This window comes from Homo sapiens, chromosome 11, assembly GCF_000001405.40.
Source record: "Homo sapiens chromosome 11, GRCh38.p14 Primary Assembly".
NCBI classification, from domain to species: Eukaryota; Metazoa; Chordata; class Mammalia; order Primates; family Hominidae; genus Homo; species Homo sapiens.
The window spans coordinates 73,585,972-73,605,794 of record NC_000011.10 but is presented as its reverse complement, the minus strand read 5'-3'; the positions used below and the strand labels follow the sequence as shown (position 1 = coordinate 73,605,794).

The window sequence follows — 19,823 nt, the reverse complement described above, 5'->3', positions numbered from 1 at the left end:
GCCAGTATTCTTGGCATTCCTTGGCTTGGGGCTTCCTGACTCTGATCTTTGCTTCCATTCTCACATAGCCTTCTGCTCTATGTCTCAGGCACAGAGCTTTCTCTTATGAAGACATCGGTCATTGGATTTAGGGACCACCTAAATCCAGGAGGATCTCATCCCAAGATCCTTTCTTAATTATATCTACCTAGACCAACTCTGGGCCACAGAGATGCATCGGACCACCGTGGGCCCTGCTTTCAAATGAGGTCACATTCACAAATATGGGGGTTAAGACTTGGTCAATATCTTCTGGGGAGACACAATTCAACCTGCTACAATTGGTATACTTTTTTTTCCCAACTTTATGAACTTGAGGGATTTTATGTAAAGGATCCTGCTAGACTTATACTCCAACCATTTCCCTCCAGATTATCTTCTGGTCTTTGTCAGTAACAATTCTCACTCTATCAGCTCTTCATGACATGCAAAGCATCTATTACCTTAGTTAACAATTTTATCTGCCCTAGGAGGTCTCCAAGGTTGGCTTTTGATTGTTTGTTTGTTTGAGATACGGTCTTGCTCTGTCGCCCAGACTGGAGTGCAGTGGTATGATCTTGGCTCACTGCAGCCTCAATCTTTCAGGCTCAAGCAATCCTTCCCGTTCAGCCTCCTGAGTAGCTGAGACTACAGATGTACACCAGCACACCCAGCTAATTTTTGTATTTTTTGTAGACATGGAGTCTCACTGTGTTGCCCAGGTTGGTCTCAAACTCCTGGGCTCATGCAATCTGCCTGCCTCAGCCTCCCAAAGTGCTGGGATTACAGGTGTGAGCCACTGCACTGGGCCAGGTTGATCATTTTACAGATGTGGAAACAGGCACATCCGGGGCAGTGAATTGACAGAGGACACCCAGCTAGGAAGTGGCTGAGGCAGGAATTGAACCTAGAACATCAAGGCTCCTTCCTTGTATAGTTGCTGCTGTACAAGAGTTTCAGTGTCTGTAATCAGTTCATGCAGATTCGTGATTCACTCTTGCCCTTAACTTTATTTAATGTGTACTTTTCCCTTGTCATTCTAATTGATTATATAGTCTATATACTTGTCATGTTAATTGATTGATTCATTAATTCAACCACCATTTATTGAACCCTTACCCTGTGAGAAGCCCTGAGCTGGACTGAGCTCTGGGCCACAGAGGTGGATCAGACCACCTTAAGCCTTGTCCTTGGGGGCAGCATATAGACAATGATCGCAGAATGTGAGCAGAGCTGTGGGAGCCCAGAGTGGACTTCTAACCTAGCCAGAGGTCAGCAGATGCTTTTTGATGTCTGAATTAGGTCTTGAGGATAAGCAGGATGCAATTTTCTGCTTTTAATATTGGTTATTATAATTAAATATTAGGATGGGCATTTGATACTCATCTGTCGATATTAATGGTATGCTGTTAGCTTTCTAACACTCTGGCAAGCAGGCATAGCAGGTTTATATAATAGTCTTCAGCATAAATGGCAATAACTTCCATTTGCCCAGTGTTGGGTCATTTACAAAACATTTTCACACCTCTTGTCTCATTTGCTGTGACAAAAAGCTCTTTGAGAGTGCTCTGTTTATATTCATGTGATTTCTCTTGTTTTAAGTCTTAGCTAAACTGAAAAATTATATTTAATTTTCCAATAAGATCATTACAAAAGTTTTTAAATTAAATGAGATAACTTTGGAATTTATAATCATTCCAATTGCACTGAGGATTAAACCAAGGCCTGGTTCTAATCCTAGTGTGGCCAATCCCTTCCTCTCTCCCGGTCTCAATTTCCTCTACTATAAAATGGACATGTGAGGGATGTTTAAGCTGAAAGATTTAATGAGATAATGGATCTTAAGACACCAGCATAATACCTGCTTCATTCAAGATCAGTTCTCCTAGCATGATCTCTAATGTCCATTTTCCTGTGATTCTAGAGCAATTCTTTTTTTTTTTTTGATGGAGTTTCACTCTTGTTGCCCAGGCTGGAGTGCAATGGCACCATCTCGGCTCACTGCAACCTCCGCCTCCCCGGTTAAAGCGATTCTCCTGCCTCAGCCTCCCAAGTAGCTGGGATTACAGGCATGTGCTACCAGCTAATTTTTGTATTTGTAGTAGAGACGGGGTTTTGCCATGTTGGCCAGGCTGATCTCGAACTCCTGACCTCAAGTGATCCACCCGCCTCAGCCTCCCAAAGTGCTGGGAATACAGGCATGAGCCACCACGCCTGGCCTAGAGCAATTCTTAAAGTAAAGCTGACGCATATGTGCCAAAGCTCCCGAAGAGATGCTTTGAGAAAGAGGTGGCAAAGAAGCATGTTAACACAGCTGGGAGAAAACCCTTGCAAAGTACAAGTTAATCAGATAGTAACAGGCAAAGGATAGCGTTTTGACACTGTCATTTTGACTTCGAGTTTGTTTTGATGGGGTTGCAGAAAAAAATTATGGTAGAAATAATCAACACAAAATTAAACTGACAATGGCTAAATCTACACATGATGAAATTTACTATGGATAAAAAAGCAAACTGAATGATCCCATCTTTGCTGGTAACACTGCAATCTGCAAAGTTGTTCCCTGGGAAAATTCTACTTAGAAATAATCAATACAAGATAAATCCAACAATGGTTCAAATTACTGTCAGGAAAAGGTGGACTTGGTAGAAATAATGACTAACAAAGAAATTTCATTATAACCCACCAATAATCAGTAAAAATAGATAAAAATAAAACTGTTGGGTGAATCAAATTTTTTTGTTGTAAAATTCATAAAGAATATATCTTTTTTTATTATTTTTTAGAGATAGAGTCTTGCTCTGTCACCCAGGCTTGAGTGCTGTGGTGCAATCATGGCTCGCTGCAGCCTTAAAATCCTGGACTCAAGTGATCCTCTCGCCTCTGCCTCCTGATCAGCTAGAACTTACAGGTGCGTGCCACCACACCCAGCCAGTTTTTCTATTTTATTTATTTATGTTTTTGAGATGAAGTCTCACTCTGTCATCCAGGCTGGAGTGCAGTGGCACGATTTCTGCTCACTGCAGGCTCTGACCCCCAGGTTCAAGTCAAGTGATTCTTCTGCCTCAGCCTCCTGAGTAGCTGGGACTACAGGTGCGCACCACCACACCTGGCTAATTTTTTGTATTTTTAGTAGAGACGGGGTTTTACCATGTTGGCCAGGGTGGTTTCAAACTTCTGACCTCAAGCGATCCGCTCATCTCGGCCTGCGAAAGTGCTAGAATTACAGGCGTGAGGCATGATGCTAAGCCCAATTTTTCTATTTTTTGAAGAGATGGGGTCTCACTGTGTTGCCCAGGCTGGTCTTGAACTCCTGGCCTCAAGGGATCCTTCTGTCTTGGCCTCCCAAAGTGCTGGGATTATAGGCATGAGCCACAGCACCGAGCTGCTAAATAATATATCTTGAGGCCAGGCGTGGTGGCTCACGCCTGTAATCCCAGCACTTTGGGAGGCTGAGGCAGGCAGATCACGAGGTCAGGAGATCGAGACCATCCTGGCTAACACGGTGAAACCCCGTCTCTACTAAAAATACAAATAAATTAGCTGGGCGTGGTGGCGGGCGCTTGTAGTCCCAGCTACTCAGGAGGCTGAGGCAGGAGAATGGCGTGAACCCAGGAGGCAGAGCTTGCAGTGAGCCAAGATCGCGCCACTGCACTCCAGCCTGGGCGACAGAGAGAGACTCCATCTCAAAAAAAAAAAAAAGTATATATATATATCTCTTGATAAAAATTCAGTATAGAAAAATATTTTTAAAAGTTAGAAATCACTTAACTGTGCTATATCAAAAACTTATCCAGGAATTAAATTGGTTTAATATAGTTCATTTCTTTAAAACTTTCATAAATTCATTAATGTTGATATAAATCAGAGTTGAAAGTTTACATATCATGATTTTGCAGGGATTTAGAGAGAGAATTCTCAAATGGTTAGATGAAGGGTTTGGACTGTAAGTGGTATTTTACAGTCTTTAAAGCACTTTCACACCCATTCTTTCACTGGATTCTCCTAATAACCTTATGAGGTGGCAGGGCAGGCGGGACTCATTCCTTCCATTTTGCGGATGTATTATAGTAACTGAGATTTCGAAAAGTTAAGGGACTTACTAAATGTCACCCATCATGTTTATGGCAAGTTCTAATTTAGGATCTGATTCTCAGATTACTAGTCCAGTAAGCTTCTCATACCTATTTATTCTCCTAACTCAGACAATGCTTTACTTGCTGGATAGACCAAGCTAGCCCCTACTAGGTAGACCGCCTAGCCCCTACTTTGTGCCACTAGGAGAAAGAAGTGGGGAAATGGAAGAGGAGAAGATGGGGTTTAGAAGAGGGCAAGGTCAGTGTAACACTAAGAGGAAGAGACTTGTTTGTCACATATCACCAACATATGATAGGTATCTTTCTCATTATTCTCAGAAAAGGGAGAAGAGGGGCTGAGATTTTAAGGCTGGGAGAATAGGATGTAAAGGGAGATGGGCAGTTTGAAAAAGAGAGTGCCTGATGTATTTGGGGAAAGTGAGTCCTGAGGGACAGGAGTCTAACTAGAGTGAGGTGGGGTGAAGCTAGAGACGCTGCAGCGGGATGGGGACTAAGTCATCCTCTGAGCTAAGCAACCTGGGCTTTTTCCTGTAGGCCTGTAGCAGAGCTAAAGTGTCCTAGTTGTTCTTACAGAACACCAAGGAACAATGGCATATAAAATTGAAAATATCAAATTCTGCTGGGCGCAGTGGCTCATGCCTGTAATCTCAGTACTTTGGGAGGCCGAGGTGGGCAGATCACTTGAGTCCAGGACTTTGAGACCACCTTGGGCAACATGGCGAAACCCTGTCTCTATAAGAAAAAAAAAGAAAAAAGAAAAATTAGCCGGGCATGGTGGTGCCTGTAGTCCCCGCTACTTGGGAGGCTGAGGTGGGAGGATCACATGAGCCCAGGGAGTCGCTGCGGCAGTGAGCTGTGATCATGCCACTGAACTCCAGCCTGGGCGACAGAGCGAGACTCTGTCTCAAAAAATGAAAAAAGAGAAGAAAATATCAAGTCAAACAGGGCTTAAATGAAAAAAATCGTGAAATCAAAAATAATCTGATACTACATTCTGTATTCTAGAAGAGCTGGACACAAGGGTCAGAAGAAGAGAAAAACTTTTTTAAAGTGCAAGACATATAGCTTTGTGTAGGCAGAGCTGCATAGGCCCTTTACAATAACTCTGTACCTCTCTCTTCACTTCCTCTCCCCACCGTGATCTCTGGCCAACAGATTAGAAACCACTGCTATAAGAATTCAGATAAGCCGGGAGCGGTGGCTCACGCCTGTAATCCCAGCACTTTGGGAGGCCGAGGCAGGCGGATTACCTGAGGTCAGGAGTTCAAGACCAGCCTGGCCAACATGGTGAAACCCCATCTCTACTAAAAATACAAAAAAAAATTAGCCAGGCATGGTGGCACATGCCTGTAATCCCAGCTACTCGGAAGGATGAGGCAGGAGAATTGCTTGAGCCCGGGAGACGGAGGTTGCAGTGAGCCGAGATTGCACCACTGTACTCCAGCCTGGCTGACAGAGCAAGACTCTGTCTCAAACAAACAAACAAACAAACAAACAAACAAAAAAGAATTCAGATATAAGGAAAACCAGTGTGTCTAAAATATGTTCTAGGGAAGGTAGGACTTTGGCTTGAGTTTGAAGAATGAGTAAGAGAAAAGGAGAAAATGGGTGTGGAAAGACCAGAAATGGAAAAATTTTGAGAAGACGCATTGAAAATTGAGAAAATTCTCCCTTCCAACTTTATGAATTGGAAGTGACTACTATTATTTGTTTTAATAGTGGAACTATTAAAACCAGGCAGGCACAGTGCTGAAGCATGAATGAGACAATGGGAAGCCATGGAAAGCATCTAGGCAGCAAAGAAAGGTTGTTAGATTTGGAAATTATGTTTTTTGGAAGTAGCACAGCTTAAAAAATTGTCCAGGTGTAGTGTGGCTCACACCTGTAATCCCAGCACTTTTGAGAGCTGAGGCAGGAGGGTCTCTTGAGGCCAGGAGTTTGAAACCAGCCTGGGCAATATAGTGAGACGACGTCTCTTACAATTAAAACAAAACAAAAAAGAAAACAAAAAACAGTCGTTATGTGCTCCTTTTAAACAATTCAAACAATATGAAAACAAAAATTACAGTCGGGCATTGTGGCTCATGCCTGTAATCCCAGCACTTTGGGAGGCTGAGGCGGGCAGGTCAGGAGGTCAAGAAATCGAGACCATCCTGGCCAATATAGTGAAACCCCATCTCTACTAAAAATACAAAAATTAGCTGGATGTGGTGGCGCGCGCCTGTAGTCCCAGCTACTCAGGAGGCTGAGGCAGGAGAATCGCTTGAACCCGGGAGGCAGAGGTTGCAGTGACCTGCGATCGCCCCCACTTTACTCCAGCCTGGCTATAGATCCAGACTCCGTCTCAAAAAACAAAAAAAACCTACGTGCAATCTGACACCCTTTCCCCCAAGATAATCATTGCTAATATTTTGGCGAACCTCTTTCCTGAAATCTCTCCATGCTTGTAGAATATTGTGTCAAACCTCACATAAATGCACTCGTGTAGACATGCTGTTGTGTAATCAACTTTTTCCCCGAAGAATAAATTGTGAATAGCTTTTCATGTCAATAGATTTATATCATTTTAAATGGCTCCTTAGTATTGCATTGTATGTATATGTCACGTCTTATTTAAGCAGCACCCTATCGATGAACATTTACTCCCTTCATAATTAACTACGTCATATAACAACTTTGTGCATTCATCTTTTCGAAATTGTTCGATCATCTTTTTAAGGTAAATTCTTAAAAGTAATGGAGCTGGGTCAAGAAGAGGATATGCCCTTTGTCGTTTGGATTCAAGTTGCCGAATCGTCCTCAAATTTGCAGGGAGACCAGCGAGGAAGCTCCGGCATTAGTTCTGGTGAGAGACAGCTGAAACGGAGATGGCGAGGGATGAACAGAATCACAGGTGATCTAGCCCATCAAGGCCCATCCTCGGTGGGCTGGCGTATTCCTTCCCTTTTGCCTCTCTTTCACTTCTTTTTCTTAACATGGAGGAAGAACCGAGAACTCCATCTCCCAGCATTTCGCAGGGACCACACTCCCTGGGAACTGTAGTACCGGGTCTGAGAAGGGTCCGGAAGGAGAATAGGAAGCTGAGGGGCATGCTGGGAGGTGTAGTCCAGAGACAGAGACGAGAGGGAGAGGGAGAGAGGGAGAGAGGGAGAGAGGGAGAGACAGAGAGTGTGTGTGTGTGTGTGGGCGGGGGGAGGGGGGTGTCTATGCAAAGAGGATGGAGACGCTGCGAGTACGGCCCCTTGGGGATGGGGCCTCGGGCGACCTGACTTTCCTCACAGGTGGTCTTTGAGTCTACAAAATTCGCCAGCGGATGGTTGGCTTTATTCCACTGTCCGTGACCGGAGAGGGCGCGGCCCCTCTGCACCGGGCTCGCGGCGGGAGGCGCAGGCCGCGCGCGGGCTAAAGCAGGGCATGCCGGGAGTTGTGGTCCCGGCGCTCTGAGGCTGTGGGACGTGTCGCGGCGCCGCGCCGGCTCCTCCTTCCCTGCCCTTCTGAGCGGTCCCCCGCCTCCTCCCTCCGCCTCCTCCTCCCTCGCCCGCAGCCGAGCGTCCCCTCCCCCCACCCGTCGGGCTCCTCGGCGGCTACTGCAGAGGATTCAGAGCCGAGTCGCTGAGGAGGAGGCTCCGGTCCCCGCGCGCCATCCGCCACCCTACTGGACACGGGCGAGAGCGTCGCCGCCGTAGCCTCCGGAGAAGACAAGGGCATCGCCGCCTCAGCCGCCGCCGCCGCCGTTTTCGCCTGCAGCTGCTCACCGGTGAGGAGACTCCCCCCGCCACAGGGTCCGCTGGTCCTGAGTCTGGGCCGGTGGCGCTGGCGAGAATGAGAGGGGAGGCTGCGGAGCCCCCGTGCAGGTTGGGGGGAGGGGGTTGAGGTCGCGATGGAACGGCGGGCTGGCGGGGGAGACTTGTCCAGGCGCTGGCCGGGGGTGGGGTGAGGGTGGGACCCAAGCAGGTTGGGGGGCGGGCGACAAGGGAGGAGGACTTTTGATGGAGAATAACCCAACCTGGGACAGGAGAGTGGGGTGGGGGCGTCGGGTTGGAATTCGGGATGGTCTTGGGGCGAGGTGGAAGATGAGACTAGGGTGGGATGGCTTTTAATGGGGGAGGGGACTGAATGAGGGTGGTGATTTGGGTTTGGCCTGGAGCAGTTGACAGCTTGGGATCTGAGCTGGGGTGAGGGGCAGGGGAATGATTTCAACGGAGAGTGAGTGGCATGTACAGGGTTGGTTAGGGCCCTGCGTAGTGTTAATTCAGAAGGGTGGAATTTGGGGTGGACCTGGGGCAGGATGATGGAGGTGGCAGGAGTTGGGGGTGAGGGGCTTGGCATGGGTTGAGACCCAAGCTTGAAGTGGGTGTTTGTCATCTGGGGCTGGTGGAATTTGTGGAGACTTATGGAATAGCATGGGTTAGGATAGAGCAGAAGAGTGCAATTTGGGGGTTTCCTGGGGTGGGCTGATGGAGGTTGGAATAGGAGTTGGTGGAGGTGGGACATTCAGTGAGGGGAGTGTGATGGTGAGCTGGCAGGAAGGGGCCACATTGGAAGTCAGGCCCGAAATGGGAGGACAGGGATGGAAATGGAGTGTGGGGCACAGTGGGTTGGATTTAGGGTGATCTTACAATCACTGGAAAGGGCATGGTGGCTCCTTGGTTGCAGAGTCAAGGCAGAGGGCACATAAAACATCACTGGGCTGCTTTCATTGAAAGGATAGCGGCAGGGGTGAGCAAAGTTGGGGGATGGTATCTTGAAGAAAATATCCCTTGGCCAAGGTGGCAGAGGGAGTTTTGGAGAAGGACTTTCGGAGATGAGCTGGTAGGCCTGGGGAGGTGGTTGCTGATGGTGAGGTGGCACAGGGGAAATTTAAGGAATGGGAGACCTGGAGCTGTTGGTATGGATGGGGCAGAGAGGATGGAGAGGGACAGTGAGCTGTGCTGGAGAGCAGGGGGGAATTGGGTTGGATTATTTTGGTGGTGAAGGATTGGGGTGGCCTCCAAGAGACACATGAGGGTTAAGGGTTGGAATACTTAAATGAACAGCCTTGGTGGCTGTGGTTGGGTGAGAGGCAGTAAGGCTGTTAGAGGGGACTTTGCAGGGGACACGGAAGAGACCTTCTCATTCTTAGGGGCCATTTTAATCTGTTCGGGTGATGTTTTTGTTTGTTTTATTTATATTAGTAAAATTTGGAAGTCAAGTCAGCCCAAAGGGTAAAGTTGAAAGGGGATTTAGTTAAGGTAGAATTAAGGAGGGGAGGGTGTCTTCTGTTATTTGTATATCATAAAAAGTAAGTTGGGGGAAAAAAGCATACTTCCAAACTAAAGGTGGGAGAAGATAAACTGGAATGTAATGGATATCTTTCTATATGATGTCTCTGCCTTTTCTTTTCCCCTCTCCTCCTGGTGTATTTAAAAACTAGCCAGGCATTTTGAAATTTAAATAGATTTGATGAGCTTGAGATTGTTAAGGGTGCATTCCTTGCTTGAGAACTAATGAGTGAGCCTGAAAAATATGAGACTGAATTTATTTTGTAGGTAGGTAACAAGCACATAGGCAAAAAGAGCTTGGGCCTTTTTTACCCCCTCTTTAAATTGATTGCTTGAAGACGCCATTTGTTAGTGTCCTGGTTTGCAAGGCAATTAGGCCCATCATTGTATTGCAGGCTAATAATCCTGAGATGAGTCTTGGCACCACCGCTTTATGTAAACAGAGAAGACAGGAAATATGGAAATGTCATAAATATTCATTGGTGAGATGGTTTGGTACTGATGGAGTTTTTCATATGATTGTCTTTTGACATTGATAAGATTTAGAATAATTGGACTGTATTTCTAAAGATTGAATTTTCTTCCAAAGGAATTCAGGTGATCAGAATTCTGTCAGATGTGAATAAATAAAGCATATTGAGTCATTTTTATTTTATTTTTTGGGGAATGATGTTGATGTAGTCGCATTGTATTAACTACAGAAACAGCATCTCCACCTATTCATCAGAAATTCGATTTAAACCTTAGCGATATGCTCATTCTTAGGGCAGAACGATGATAATGGAAGGTACACAGGAGTGCAAATGGAGGGAACATCTTTAGAGAAACAGTTCTATGGACCTAATTGCATTAACTGTGATAATATGTTAAACATAAAGTGGCTGTTGATTAGAGCTCAGACTGAAAAAAAATGAGGAGGGATGTAAAGAAGATAAAATTGGCACCATTGGGATCGAAATAATTCTTTTTATTTTTGTTCAAGCTTCAGAATTTAGCTCGCAAACAAACCATTTTCCTTGGCTTTCACGATTGAGCATATAAAAATACCATTTAGAATCTTTTTTTTTTAGCTCCAAAATGGGCAGAATGATGGAACGTTGGACTTATCCTTTGAATTGAAAGTGTTTTGTAATGAGGAAGCTTTCTGTATTATAATAAAGATCAGGTTTGAGCAGTTACCTGTAATTCAGTGAGACTGTAATCTAATGTGAGCATTTCTCTCATAACTTTACTCTGAGGTCTAGACGTTGTTTTTGCAGATCTGCAGGCTTGGTCTAGAGGTGGGATGTTTATATTAAAGCCCTAGCTTTTGAAAGCCCAAAATGAAAAGTGCCTGGGAGAAATGTGTTGGTGGATTTTTTTTTTCCACAGCCGTGGTTACCTGTGTAGTAGTAATGTGTTTTTGTATCTTTACCTCATTTGATCCTCCCGATATCTTGGTGAGAAGAGAGCAGATGGAGGTATTGATAGACAGAAGCCTTTGTGGAACGAATAGCCCATGAGTTTAGGAGTTGAGTCCCAGATTCAAATCCCAGTTCTACTACTTGAAAGCTGAGTGATTTCAGTCAAGTCATTAAAAACCTTTCAGATGGCCAGGCGTGGTGGCTCACGCCAGTAGTCCCAGCACTTTGGGAGGCCGAGGTGGGTGGATCACTTGAGGTCAGGAGTTTGAGATCAGCCTGGCCAACATGGCAAAACCCCATCTCTACTACAAATACAAAAATTAGCTGGTAGCACGTGCCTGTAATCCCAGCTACTTGGGAGGCTGAGGCAGGAGAATTGCTAGAACTGGGGAGGTGGGCAGTGAGCCACGATTGCGCCATTGCACTCCAGCATAGGCAACAAGAGCGAAACTCTGTCTCAAAACAAACAAACAAAAAACAAACAAAAAACCTTTCATATTTAGTGGTAATGGCTGCAAAACATTGTGAACATAGTTAATACCACTGAATTGTACACTTAACTTTGGTTAAAAAGGTAAAAATACACACACAAAAAAACCTCAAAAACCAAAAAAACTGGCCAGGCATAGTGGCTCACGCCCATAATCCCAGACTTTGGGAGGCTGAGCTGGGAGTATTGCTTGAGCCTAGGAGTTCGAGACCAGTGAGGGCAACATAGGGAGACCCGTCTCCACAAAAAAAAAAAAAAATTTGCTGGGTGTGGTAGCGTATACCTGTAATCCCAGATACTCAGGAGGGAGGTGGGAGGATTGCTTGAGCCAGGGAGGTCAAGGCTGCAGTGAGCCATGATCGTGCTTCCCTGCACTGCAGTCTGGGTTACAGAATGAGACCCTGTCACACAATCAAACTTTCATACTTCACAAGGCTGTCAAGGGGAACAAACCAGTTCATGTCCTGAAAACACTGTACATATATGAAATATCTGTTCACTATTTATTTATTTAATGAATGTCTGCTAAGTGCCAGGGGAAATAAAAATGAACAGAAAGCAGTTGTCAAGGAGCTTTCAGTGTCATGGGAAAGATAGACAAATACGGTGAGAAAAGTGAGGCAAAATGAATGCTATGGTTAAATGTGGGTTTTGAAGTCTGTCTACCACTTACTATTAGCTGTGTGACGTTGGGCACAATGGGCTCATCTGTAAAGTGCGAATAATAGAATTAACATCATAGGATTGTTTTGAGGATTAAATAAGATAATCAATGGAAAGCATTTCACACAATATGTTTTATAGTACACATTAAAAAAATTAGTTGTTGCCTTTATTGTTAGAAAGATAGGCAGAGGCTAGAATGGTGAATAGCCTTGTGTGCCCTACCAATGAGTTCTTAGTATTGTGGTATTTATTAATGAGGTATGATTTTGTTTTATGATCTCATGCATATTTGCATGTTTACAGTCTAGGAACTTTAAACAGTTCTTTAAATGCCAAAGTCCTAAACAGATGTTAGCTGTTAGCTTCCTCATTAATAAAATAAGAAGAAAAATTATGCTCTGAGAGGTTAAATGACTTGTTTAAGGTTACACAGTCAGTGGAAAAGTCTGGGTTACAGCCCCCAAATTCTAATTTGTCATCCCCATTTATATCCTTTTTTTAAATTGTAAAATATGTCATATGTATAAAAGTATATTTAACATAAACCCACAACTTAAAGAATAACAAATTGAAGGCTTTTCTACTTGCTACCCAGCTTAACAAAAAGGAGATTTCTAGTACCTTTAAAGCCTCTTGTGAGGTCCTACTTGATTGAATCTCCCATCTTCTCTCTCCCTCAGAGATAAACAGTTTCCTAAATTTTATGTGAATCATTTCTTTGCTTTTCTTTATACTTTTACCAAATATGTGCATATCCCTAAACAGTATATTTTTTACCTTTGCAACTTTTTATAAATAGAATTATAGGATAAATATTCTTCTGACTTGCTTTATTCTTATTCTTATTTTTTAACTTTTAAAAAAGCTTTATTTCTTCCACCATTAAATAATGTGTGCTCATGATAAAAACTAGAAATTACAAAAAGTAAAAAGAAGCATAAGTATTGTTTTTAGTCCTATTACCCAGTAACACTTTTTTTTTTTTTTGGTAGAGACAGGGTCTCGCTATGTTGTCCTGGTCAAGTGATCCTCCTTCCTCGGCCTCCCAAAGTGCTTACAAATGCAGGCATGTGGCACCATGCCTGGCTGGCAAATGCTTTTTGTAGAAAATATTTTGTGCCACATATGGCCTCTGTTGTTCTTTCTCCTCCCTTCCACTCCCCTTCCTTTTTGTCTCCCCATCTCCCTCCCCGTTCTTCTCCTTCCTGAAGCCCCTCCTCTTGCTTCTCCCCATTCCTTCTTCTCCCTCCCCTTCTCTTTCTCCTCCTTTTATGTGGTTTTAAGAATGTAAAACTCACAGGCCATACAAAAATAGGCCATGGGCGGGCCATAGCTGGCCGACCCCTGGTACGTTAACAGAAATCAACTCAAAGTTGTAAAATATTGAAGAGGAAAGAGACTAAACCAAGTTCATATTTCTTTCTCTATTTTGTTAAATTTACTTCCTTGGACAGTTATGCATATCTTTAGTATTGAAAACAATGGTATAGAATTTTTTTGTCAAATTATGTTTATCTAAAAGTTTAACATTTTATTAAATGAGCCATTATTTTCTGTATGAAGACACTCTGAGAAAACCTCAGTTTATAAAGTTCCAATACACCTCCTCCTCCTGCCAGTTAGGCAGGTGTCTGGGTCCTTTCAGAATATGCCTATTTTATGATGATATAGGTTGTGCTTTTTCTTAGATATAGACATTTTGAAGGAACCCTGAGATGATATATTTTTCACAGTAAACTTCAATCCTTGGCTACTTGAGATTATGATCTTGATTTGCCTTCTGATCATGTCGCTCAAGCTTGACGATTTCTGCTAACTTGTATTTCTTTTCTAGCCTCTGTTTTATAATTTTTCTAAGTATTTTAGTTTTCTAATGTGTCTTCCTCTATCTTTTATTTTGAGTTGATAGCAAATGTCTCTATCAGTAGATAACAGCTATGCTATTTATACTTATGCAAATATAATGGCGCCATTTTATATATAGTTCTTAGGTTGGTCATGTGGCATTATTTTCATTTTAAGGATGAAGAAATTAAGACTCTAAGAGGGTAGCTGGGTGCAGTGGCTCACACCTGTAATCCCAGGATTTTGGGAGGCCAAGGTGGGAAGATCGCTTGAGCCCAGGAGTTCAAGACCAATCTGATCAACATAGTGAGATCCAGTCTCTACAAAAAACAAAAATATTATCTGGATGTGGTGGCGTGCACCTCTGTTCATAGCTATTTTGGAGGCTGAGGTGGGAGGATCACTTGAGCCCAGGAATTTGAGGCTACAGTGAGCTATGATCATACCTCTGCTCTCTAGCTTGGGCAAGACTATATCTCAATAAATAAATGAATAAAAAGATTCAAGAGGGTAATTTGTCTTAGGCCATAAGACAAGTAGGGAATTAGCAGGGAAAGACAAAAGGTACCTAACATTTGAGTGTCTATGGCAGGCAGTATGCTGGGTGCTTTCTTTTCCTTATAGATAGAATTTAATCCTCATATTTGTGTCGTATAAGGAATTGTGATCATTTTACAGAAGAAGAAACTGAAGCAACTGAGGCATATAGTGATTAACTAGTTTGCATTTGTTTACATAGCTAGTAAGAGAAGAAAAGCTCGTATTTAAAAACCTGATCTGCCTTGCTCCAGAGCCATTGTTCTTTTTGTTGTACTGCATATAAATCTTCCTGGTTTTAAGCTGTTAAATCAGTAGTCTTCTTTTTTTTTTTGAGACAGAGTCTCGCTTTGTCTCCCGGCCTGGAGTACAGTGGCACGATCTCTGCTCACTGCAAACTCTTCCTCCCAGGTTCAAGTGATTCTTCTACCTTAGCCTCTTGAGTAGCTAGGACCACAGGCCCGTGCCACCATGCCCGGCTAATTGTTTGTATTTTTGGTAGAGATGGGATTTCACCATGTTGGCCAGGCTGGTCTTGAACCCCTGACCTCAGATGATCTGCCTGCCTCGGCCTCCCAAAGTGCTGGGATTACAGGCGTGAGCCTGCACCCAGCCTAATCAGTAGTCTTCAACCTATTTAGACAGGTAGTATCTGGCTACTCTTTAGAATCACCCGAGGAGCTGTTTAAAAAAAAAAGATATGTGTCAGTTCTACTCTCGACCAGTGTTAACAAAACTTCTGTAGGTGAGCATAAGGCAGATGTGTGTATATTTATATGGAAAATATAAATTAAAAATAAATTATATTGAGGTATGTATAACATGTAGAAAAAAATGCACAAAATGTATAACCAGCATTCGGATCAAGAAAGGGAACATTATCTCCTCCTCCAAGGAAACCAACAACTTCTAATAATGTAGATTATTTTTGCCTGTTTATGACGTTTCATAGGTGTGACTGGCTTTTCATATATAATATATTTGTGAGACTCATTTATTCTTGTATGTAGGTGTAGTGTGTTCTTGCTTATTGCTATGTAGCAACAGTTTCTCAAACATTTTGGTGTCTTCACATTCATATTTATTGACAACTCCAAAGAACTTTTGCTTGCAGTGGCACAGTCATGGCTCACTGCAGCCTTGACCTACTAGGCTGAAGTGATCCTCCATCCTCAGCCTCCTAAGTAGCTGGGACTACAGGCATGTGCCACCATGCCTGGTTATTTTAAAATTTTTTTTGTAGAGACAGGATCTTGCTCAGTTGCCCAGGCTGGTCTTGAACTCCTAGGCTCAAGCAATTCTCCTGCCTCAGCCTCCCAAAGTACTGGGATTACAGGCATGAGCCACTGCCTTCAGCTGTGTTAGCATATTCTAATGAAAATAAGTATATTATTCTAAATGTAAAAAATTAGAATAATATTTTACATTTAAAACAATCTCTTTAGTATCTTATTGGATCTGCCTCAGTATTCAGTCTGTTGCAGTTTGTTGTTTTGCATGGAATATAAAGAAAATCCAGTCCCACAAAGGAGGAATTTTCTTTTTCTTTTTAGACGGAGTTTCACTCTTGTCGCCCAGGCTGGAGTGCAATGGCAGGATCTCGGCTCACTGCAACCTCCGCCTCCTGGGTTCAAGTGATTCTCCTGCCTCAGCCTCCCAAATAGCTGGGACTACAGGCGTGCGCCACCACGCCCAGCTAATTTTTGTATTTTTAGTAGAGACAGGGTTTCAGCATCTTGCCCAGGCTGGTCTTGAACTCCTGACCTCATGATCCACCCACCTTGGCCTCCCAAAGTGTTGGGATTACAGGCGTGAGCCACCGTGCCCAGCCGAAAGGAGGAATGTTTTTATATAATTGTGGATATTCCTCTTTGATACTACACCAGTCATGTCCAGCCCTTTGAATGTGAGGACTTTTTTGCTTATCTGTAGTGGATATCATGAAAATTATACACACTTTTTTTTTCTTTTTTTTTTTTTTTCAGCTTATCAGCTATCGTTAGTGTTGGTGTATTTTATGTGAAGCCCAAGTCAATTTTTCTTCCAGTGTAGCCCAGGGAAACCAAAAGGTTGGACGCCCATGTTACACCAAAACTTGACAATTGGTAGTTTGTTAAGGTTCATTGCCTTGTACAGTCTGAACCATATCACTGAGCTTTTCATGCTCTGTTACATTAAAATCCATTGGTCTGTTTTTTTCTTTATTATTTTTTAATTTGCTTATTTCTCCAAGAAAAACCATTGGTCTGTTCGTACTTTGTTAGATCTTTTACCCGTGCATAATTTTTGTAGCATTATGCGTTGGTCATTTGGAAAATATTGGTTCACTGAATATCTTAGTCTGCTCTGGCTGCCATACCAAAATGCCATAGACTGGGTGGTTTAAACAACAAAAATTTATTTTTTCGCAGTGTTGCAGGCTAGAAAGAAGTCCAAGATCAGTGTTCCAGCATGGTTAGTTTTTGGTTAGGGCTCTCTTACTGGCATCTAGATGGCCATCTTCTCGATGTTTCCTCACATGGTGGATTGGAGAGGGAGAAGAGAGAGAAAGAATAAGTGCGAGTGGACAGGCAAGCTCTCTGGTGTCTCTTTTTGAAGGCACTCATTCCATCATGGCAGCCCCACCCTCATGACCTAATCTAAACCTAATTATAAATCATCTAAACCTAATTATCTCCCAAAGGATGTGTTTCCAGATACTATCACATTGAGGAATAGGGCTTCAATTTATGAATTTTGAGGGGAGGCAGTTCAGTCTATATTATTGAGTTATTGTGGAGCATCTTTTTTGAGACCGGGTTTCACACTGGAGTGCAGTGGTGCATTCACGACTCACTTTGGCCTCAACTTCCTGGGCTCACGTGGTCATGTAATCCTGCCACCTCAGCCTCCCGTGTAGCTGAGACTTCAGGTGCAGGCCACCGTGTCTTGCTAATTTTTGTAGTTTTTCATAGAGACGGGATTTCACTGTGTTGCCCAGGCTGGTCTCCAACTCCTGGGCTCAAGTGATACCCCTGACCCAGCCTCCCAAAGTGCTGGAATTACAGATGTGGGCCACCGCACCTGGCCATGTGCAGATCTTCTGAACTGTATAATGTTTAAGAACCCACATTTGTTAATATCACCACTCATCTCATCAGACAAATCTTTTCTAATTTTCATTTGAAAGCTCAAATTTTATCATAGGCAACCAATACTGACAGTTGTTTTCGTTGAAGTGACAGTCTCACATTGTTCATTTTCAAAAAATTGTCTGCCAAACATCCAAGTCTGAATAATCATAGTTTTTCTGCCAGTCGTTTTTTCAAGTAAAAATGGTGTTTATTAAAGCAGCCAGTACAGTTTGCAACTCAATTGCACAAGTGCTTTAGTGCTTTTCTTTGAGACAATTCTTGTACCTTAATATGCAGCAGAAATGCTTTATGTGAGGCTCGGTGCGGTGGCTCACGTCTGTAATCCCAGCACTTTGGGAGGCCGAGGTGGGTGGATCACCTGAGGTCAGGAGTTTGAGACTAGCCTGGCTAACATGGTGAAACCCCATCTCTACTAAAAATACAAAAATTTGCTGGGCGTGGTGGCACACACCTGTAATCCCAGCTACTTGGGAGGCTGAGGCAGAAGAATCTCTTGAACTAGAGAGGCAGAGGTTGCAGTGATCCGAGATTGCGCCACTGCCCTCCAGCCTGGGCGACAGAACTAGACTCCATCTCAAAAAAAAAAATGCTTTAAATGTACATTCCATTTTTCCATTTCTTCACATAGAATATGAAACAGATGTATAATTAAGGATTAAGATTTAGTAAAATTAATACTTTTTTTTGAGATGGAGTTTTGCTGTGTTGCCCAGACTGGTCTTGAACTCCTGGCACCAAGTGCTCCTCCTGCCTCAGCTTCTCTAGTAGCTGGAACTACAGCTCTGCACCACTGTGCCTGGGTAAAATTAATAGTTTTTACGACTTCCAGAAGATTCCTTTTTTTTTTTTTTTGAGACGGAGTCTCGCTTTGTCACCTCAGCTGGAGTGCAGTGGTGCGATCTGGGCTCACTGCAACCTCCGCTTCCTGGGTTCAAGCAATTCTCCTGCCTCAGCCATCCAAGTAGCTGCCATTACAGGTGCCCGAAACCATGCCCGGCTAATTTTTGTATTTTTAGTAGAAACGGGGTTTTTGCCATGTTAGCCAGGCTGGTCTCGAACTCCTGACCTCAGGTGATCCGCCCACCTCGGCCTCCCAAAGTTCTGGGATTACAGGTGTGAGCCATTGCGTCTGGCAAGAACATTCTTTAATGAAACTGAAACTTAGTTTTTTTTTTTTTTTTTTTTTTTTTTAACATGTCCATGAAGAATGCAATGACACTATTACAGTTTGGTGTCACTGCCTTGATTCAGTATAAAATGACGTATTTTTATTTGTTGATATTATTATGTTTCTAGGCTTTACTTATTTCTTATTGGGGGAATGGCTGATGTTGTCAAACCTTTACTAAAAATACTGTTTTGAAAGCCAATGTGAATGCAATTTTTTCTTTGCCTTAGTAGAATAAAAAAACTTTAGAGTTGAACAGTTTCACAATTTTGTCAGGATGTTAGAAAATTAATTGGGCTTGGTGCTTACTTTTCTCCACTTTGTGGTTAAGGAAAGGTGTGAAATGGCTTTTAGAGAACTATCCATAGCTATGCATAAGAGTGGTTTTTAAGGTATATTAGGTCTCCCTACCCTTAGCCTGGTACATTTGCAGTAGAAAAAGACAAAGGTACAGATGTAGCCATAGGCAAATAATCTTGTATAATGACTTTGGTTTTTCACTGTGATTGGACAGAGGAGAATGGAGAAAGAAGTAGTCTAGACAAGTCATAGTGCTAAACATTATTTTATCTTCCAGTTAACACCCCTGTATAGCCTGGAACCTTTGTTCTGGGGGTGGGAAATTAACATTCATTGTGTACCGACATTGTGCTAGGCCCTCTTATCTTACTTAAACCTGACAATTTTTCTGTGTGTATGTGGCCATATTTTTTAGTTTTAGACATTTAAAAAGATGATGATGATGATTTTTTATTTTTCTTGAGATGGGGTCTTGCTATATTGCCCAGGCTGGTCTTGAACTCCTGGACTCAAGTGATCATCCTGCCTCAGCCTCCTGCATGGCTGGGACTACAGGTGTATGTCATTGCACCCTGCTGTGGTGGTCATAATTATTTTATGTGTAAGAAAACAGAGGCTCAGAGATGTTGAGCCTATGCAGGCCCATCAGCCAATAAGTGACTAGGGTGGGATTTAATCCCCAGACTTTTCTGCCTCCAAAACCTATGAGTGCTTTTTCCTATGTGACATGCTGGCTTCCAGAGACAGTGTCTCACTGATTATTTGTATATCCCTGATACTTGGAACTTAGCAGGGGCTTAGTACATTTTTGTGGAGTGATTGAGCCAGTGCTAAGTGAGTGAACCAGTTTTTACAGAGCAGGATATAACTCACCCACTCTGAGCTAATGTGCATGTTGGTACTA

At 43.1% G+C, this 19,823-nt stretch overlaps 1 protein-coding gene across 3 annotated transcripts in view, besides 4 other annotated features; it reads left to right on the top strand.

Moving 5' to 3' along the window:
* Positions 7,240-7,469: a silencer, noted in NCBI's record as "silent region_3745". NCBI's record gives its function as "represses an Ori minimal core promoter by ATAC-STARR-seq in GM12878 lymphoblastoid cells {active_cell/tissue: GM12878}" and the evidence as "EXISTENCE:reporter gene assay evidence [ECO:0000049][PMID:35858748]".
* Positions 7,600-7,729: a silencer, noted in NCBI's record as "silent region_3744". NCBI's record gives its function as "represses an Ori minimal core promoter by ATAC-STARR-seq in GM12878 lymphoblastoid cells {active_cell/tissue: GM12878}" and the evidence as "EXISTENCE:reporter gene assay evidence [ECO:0000049][PMID:35858748]".
* Positions 7,600-8,349: a biological region, named in NCBI's record as "H3K27ac hESC enhancer GRCh37_chr11:73308491-73309219".
* Positions 7,621-8,349: an enhancer, noted in NCBI's record as "H3K27ac hESC enhancer chr11:73308491-73309219 (GRCh37/hg19 assembly coordinates)". NCBI's record gives its function as "activates a minimal SCP1, AML or CMV promoter by ChIP-STARR-seq in naive H9 embryonic stem cells {active_cell/tissue: H9 hESC(naive)}" and the evidence as "EXISTENCE:reporter gene assay evidence [ECO:0000049][PMID:30033119]".
* Positions 7,683-19,823, top strand: part of FAM168A (family with sequence similarity 168 member A) — a 197,626-nt gene continuing 185,485 nt past the window's right edge. For all 3 annotated transcript variants that reach the window (NM_001286051.2, NM_015159.3, NM_001286050.2), the window contains exon 1: positions 7,683-7,872. The gene's annotated coding sequence lies outside the window, so the exon portion shown is untranslated. The remainder of the gene's footprint in view (positions 7,873-19,823) is intronic.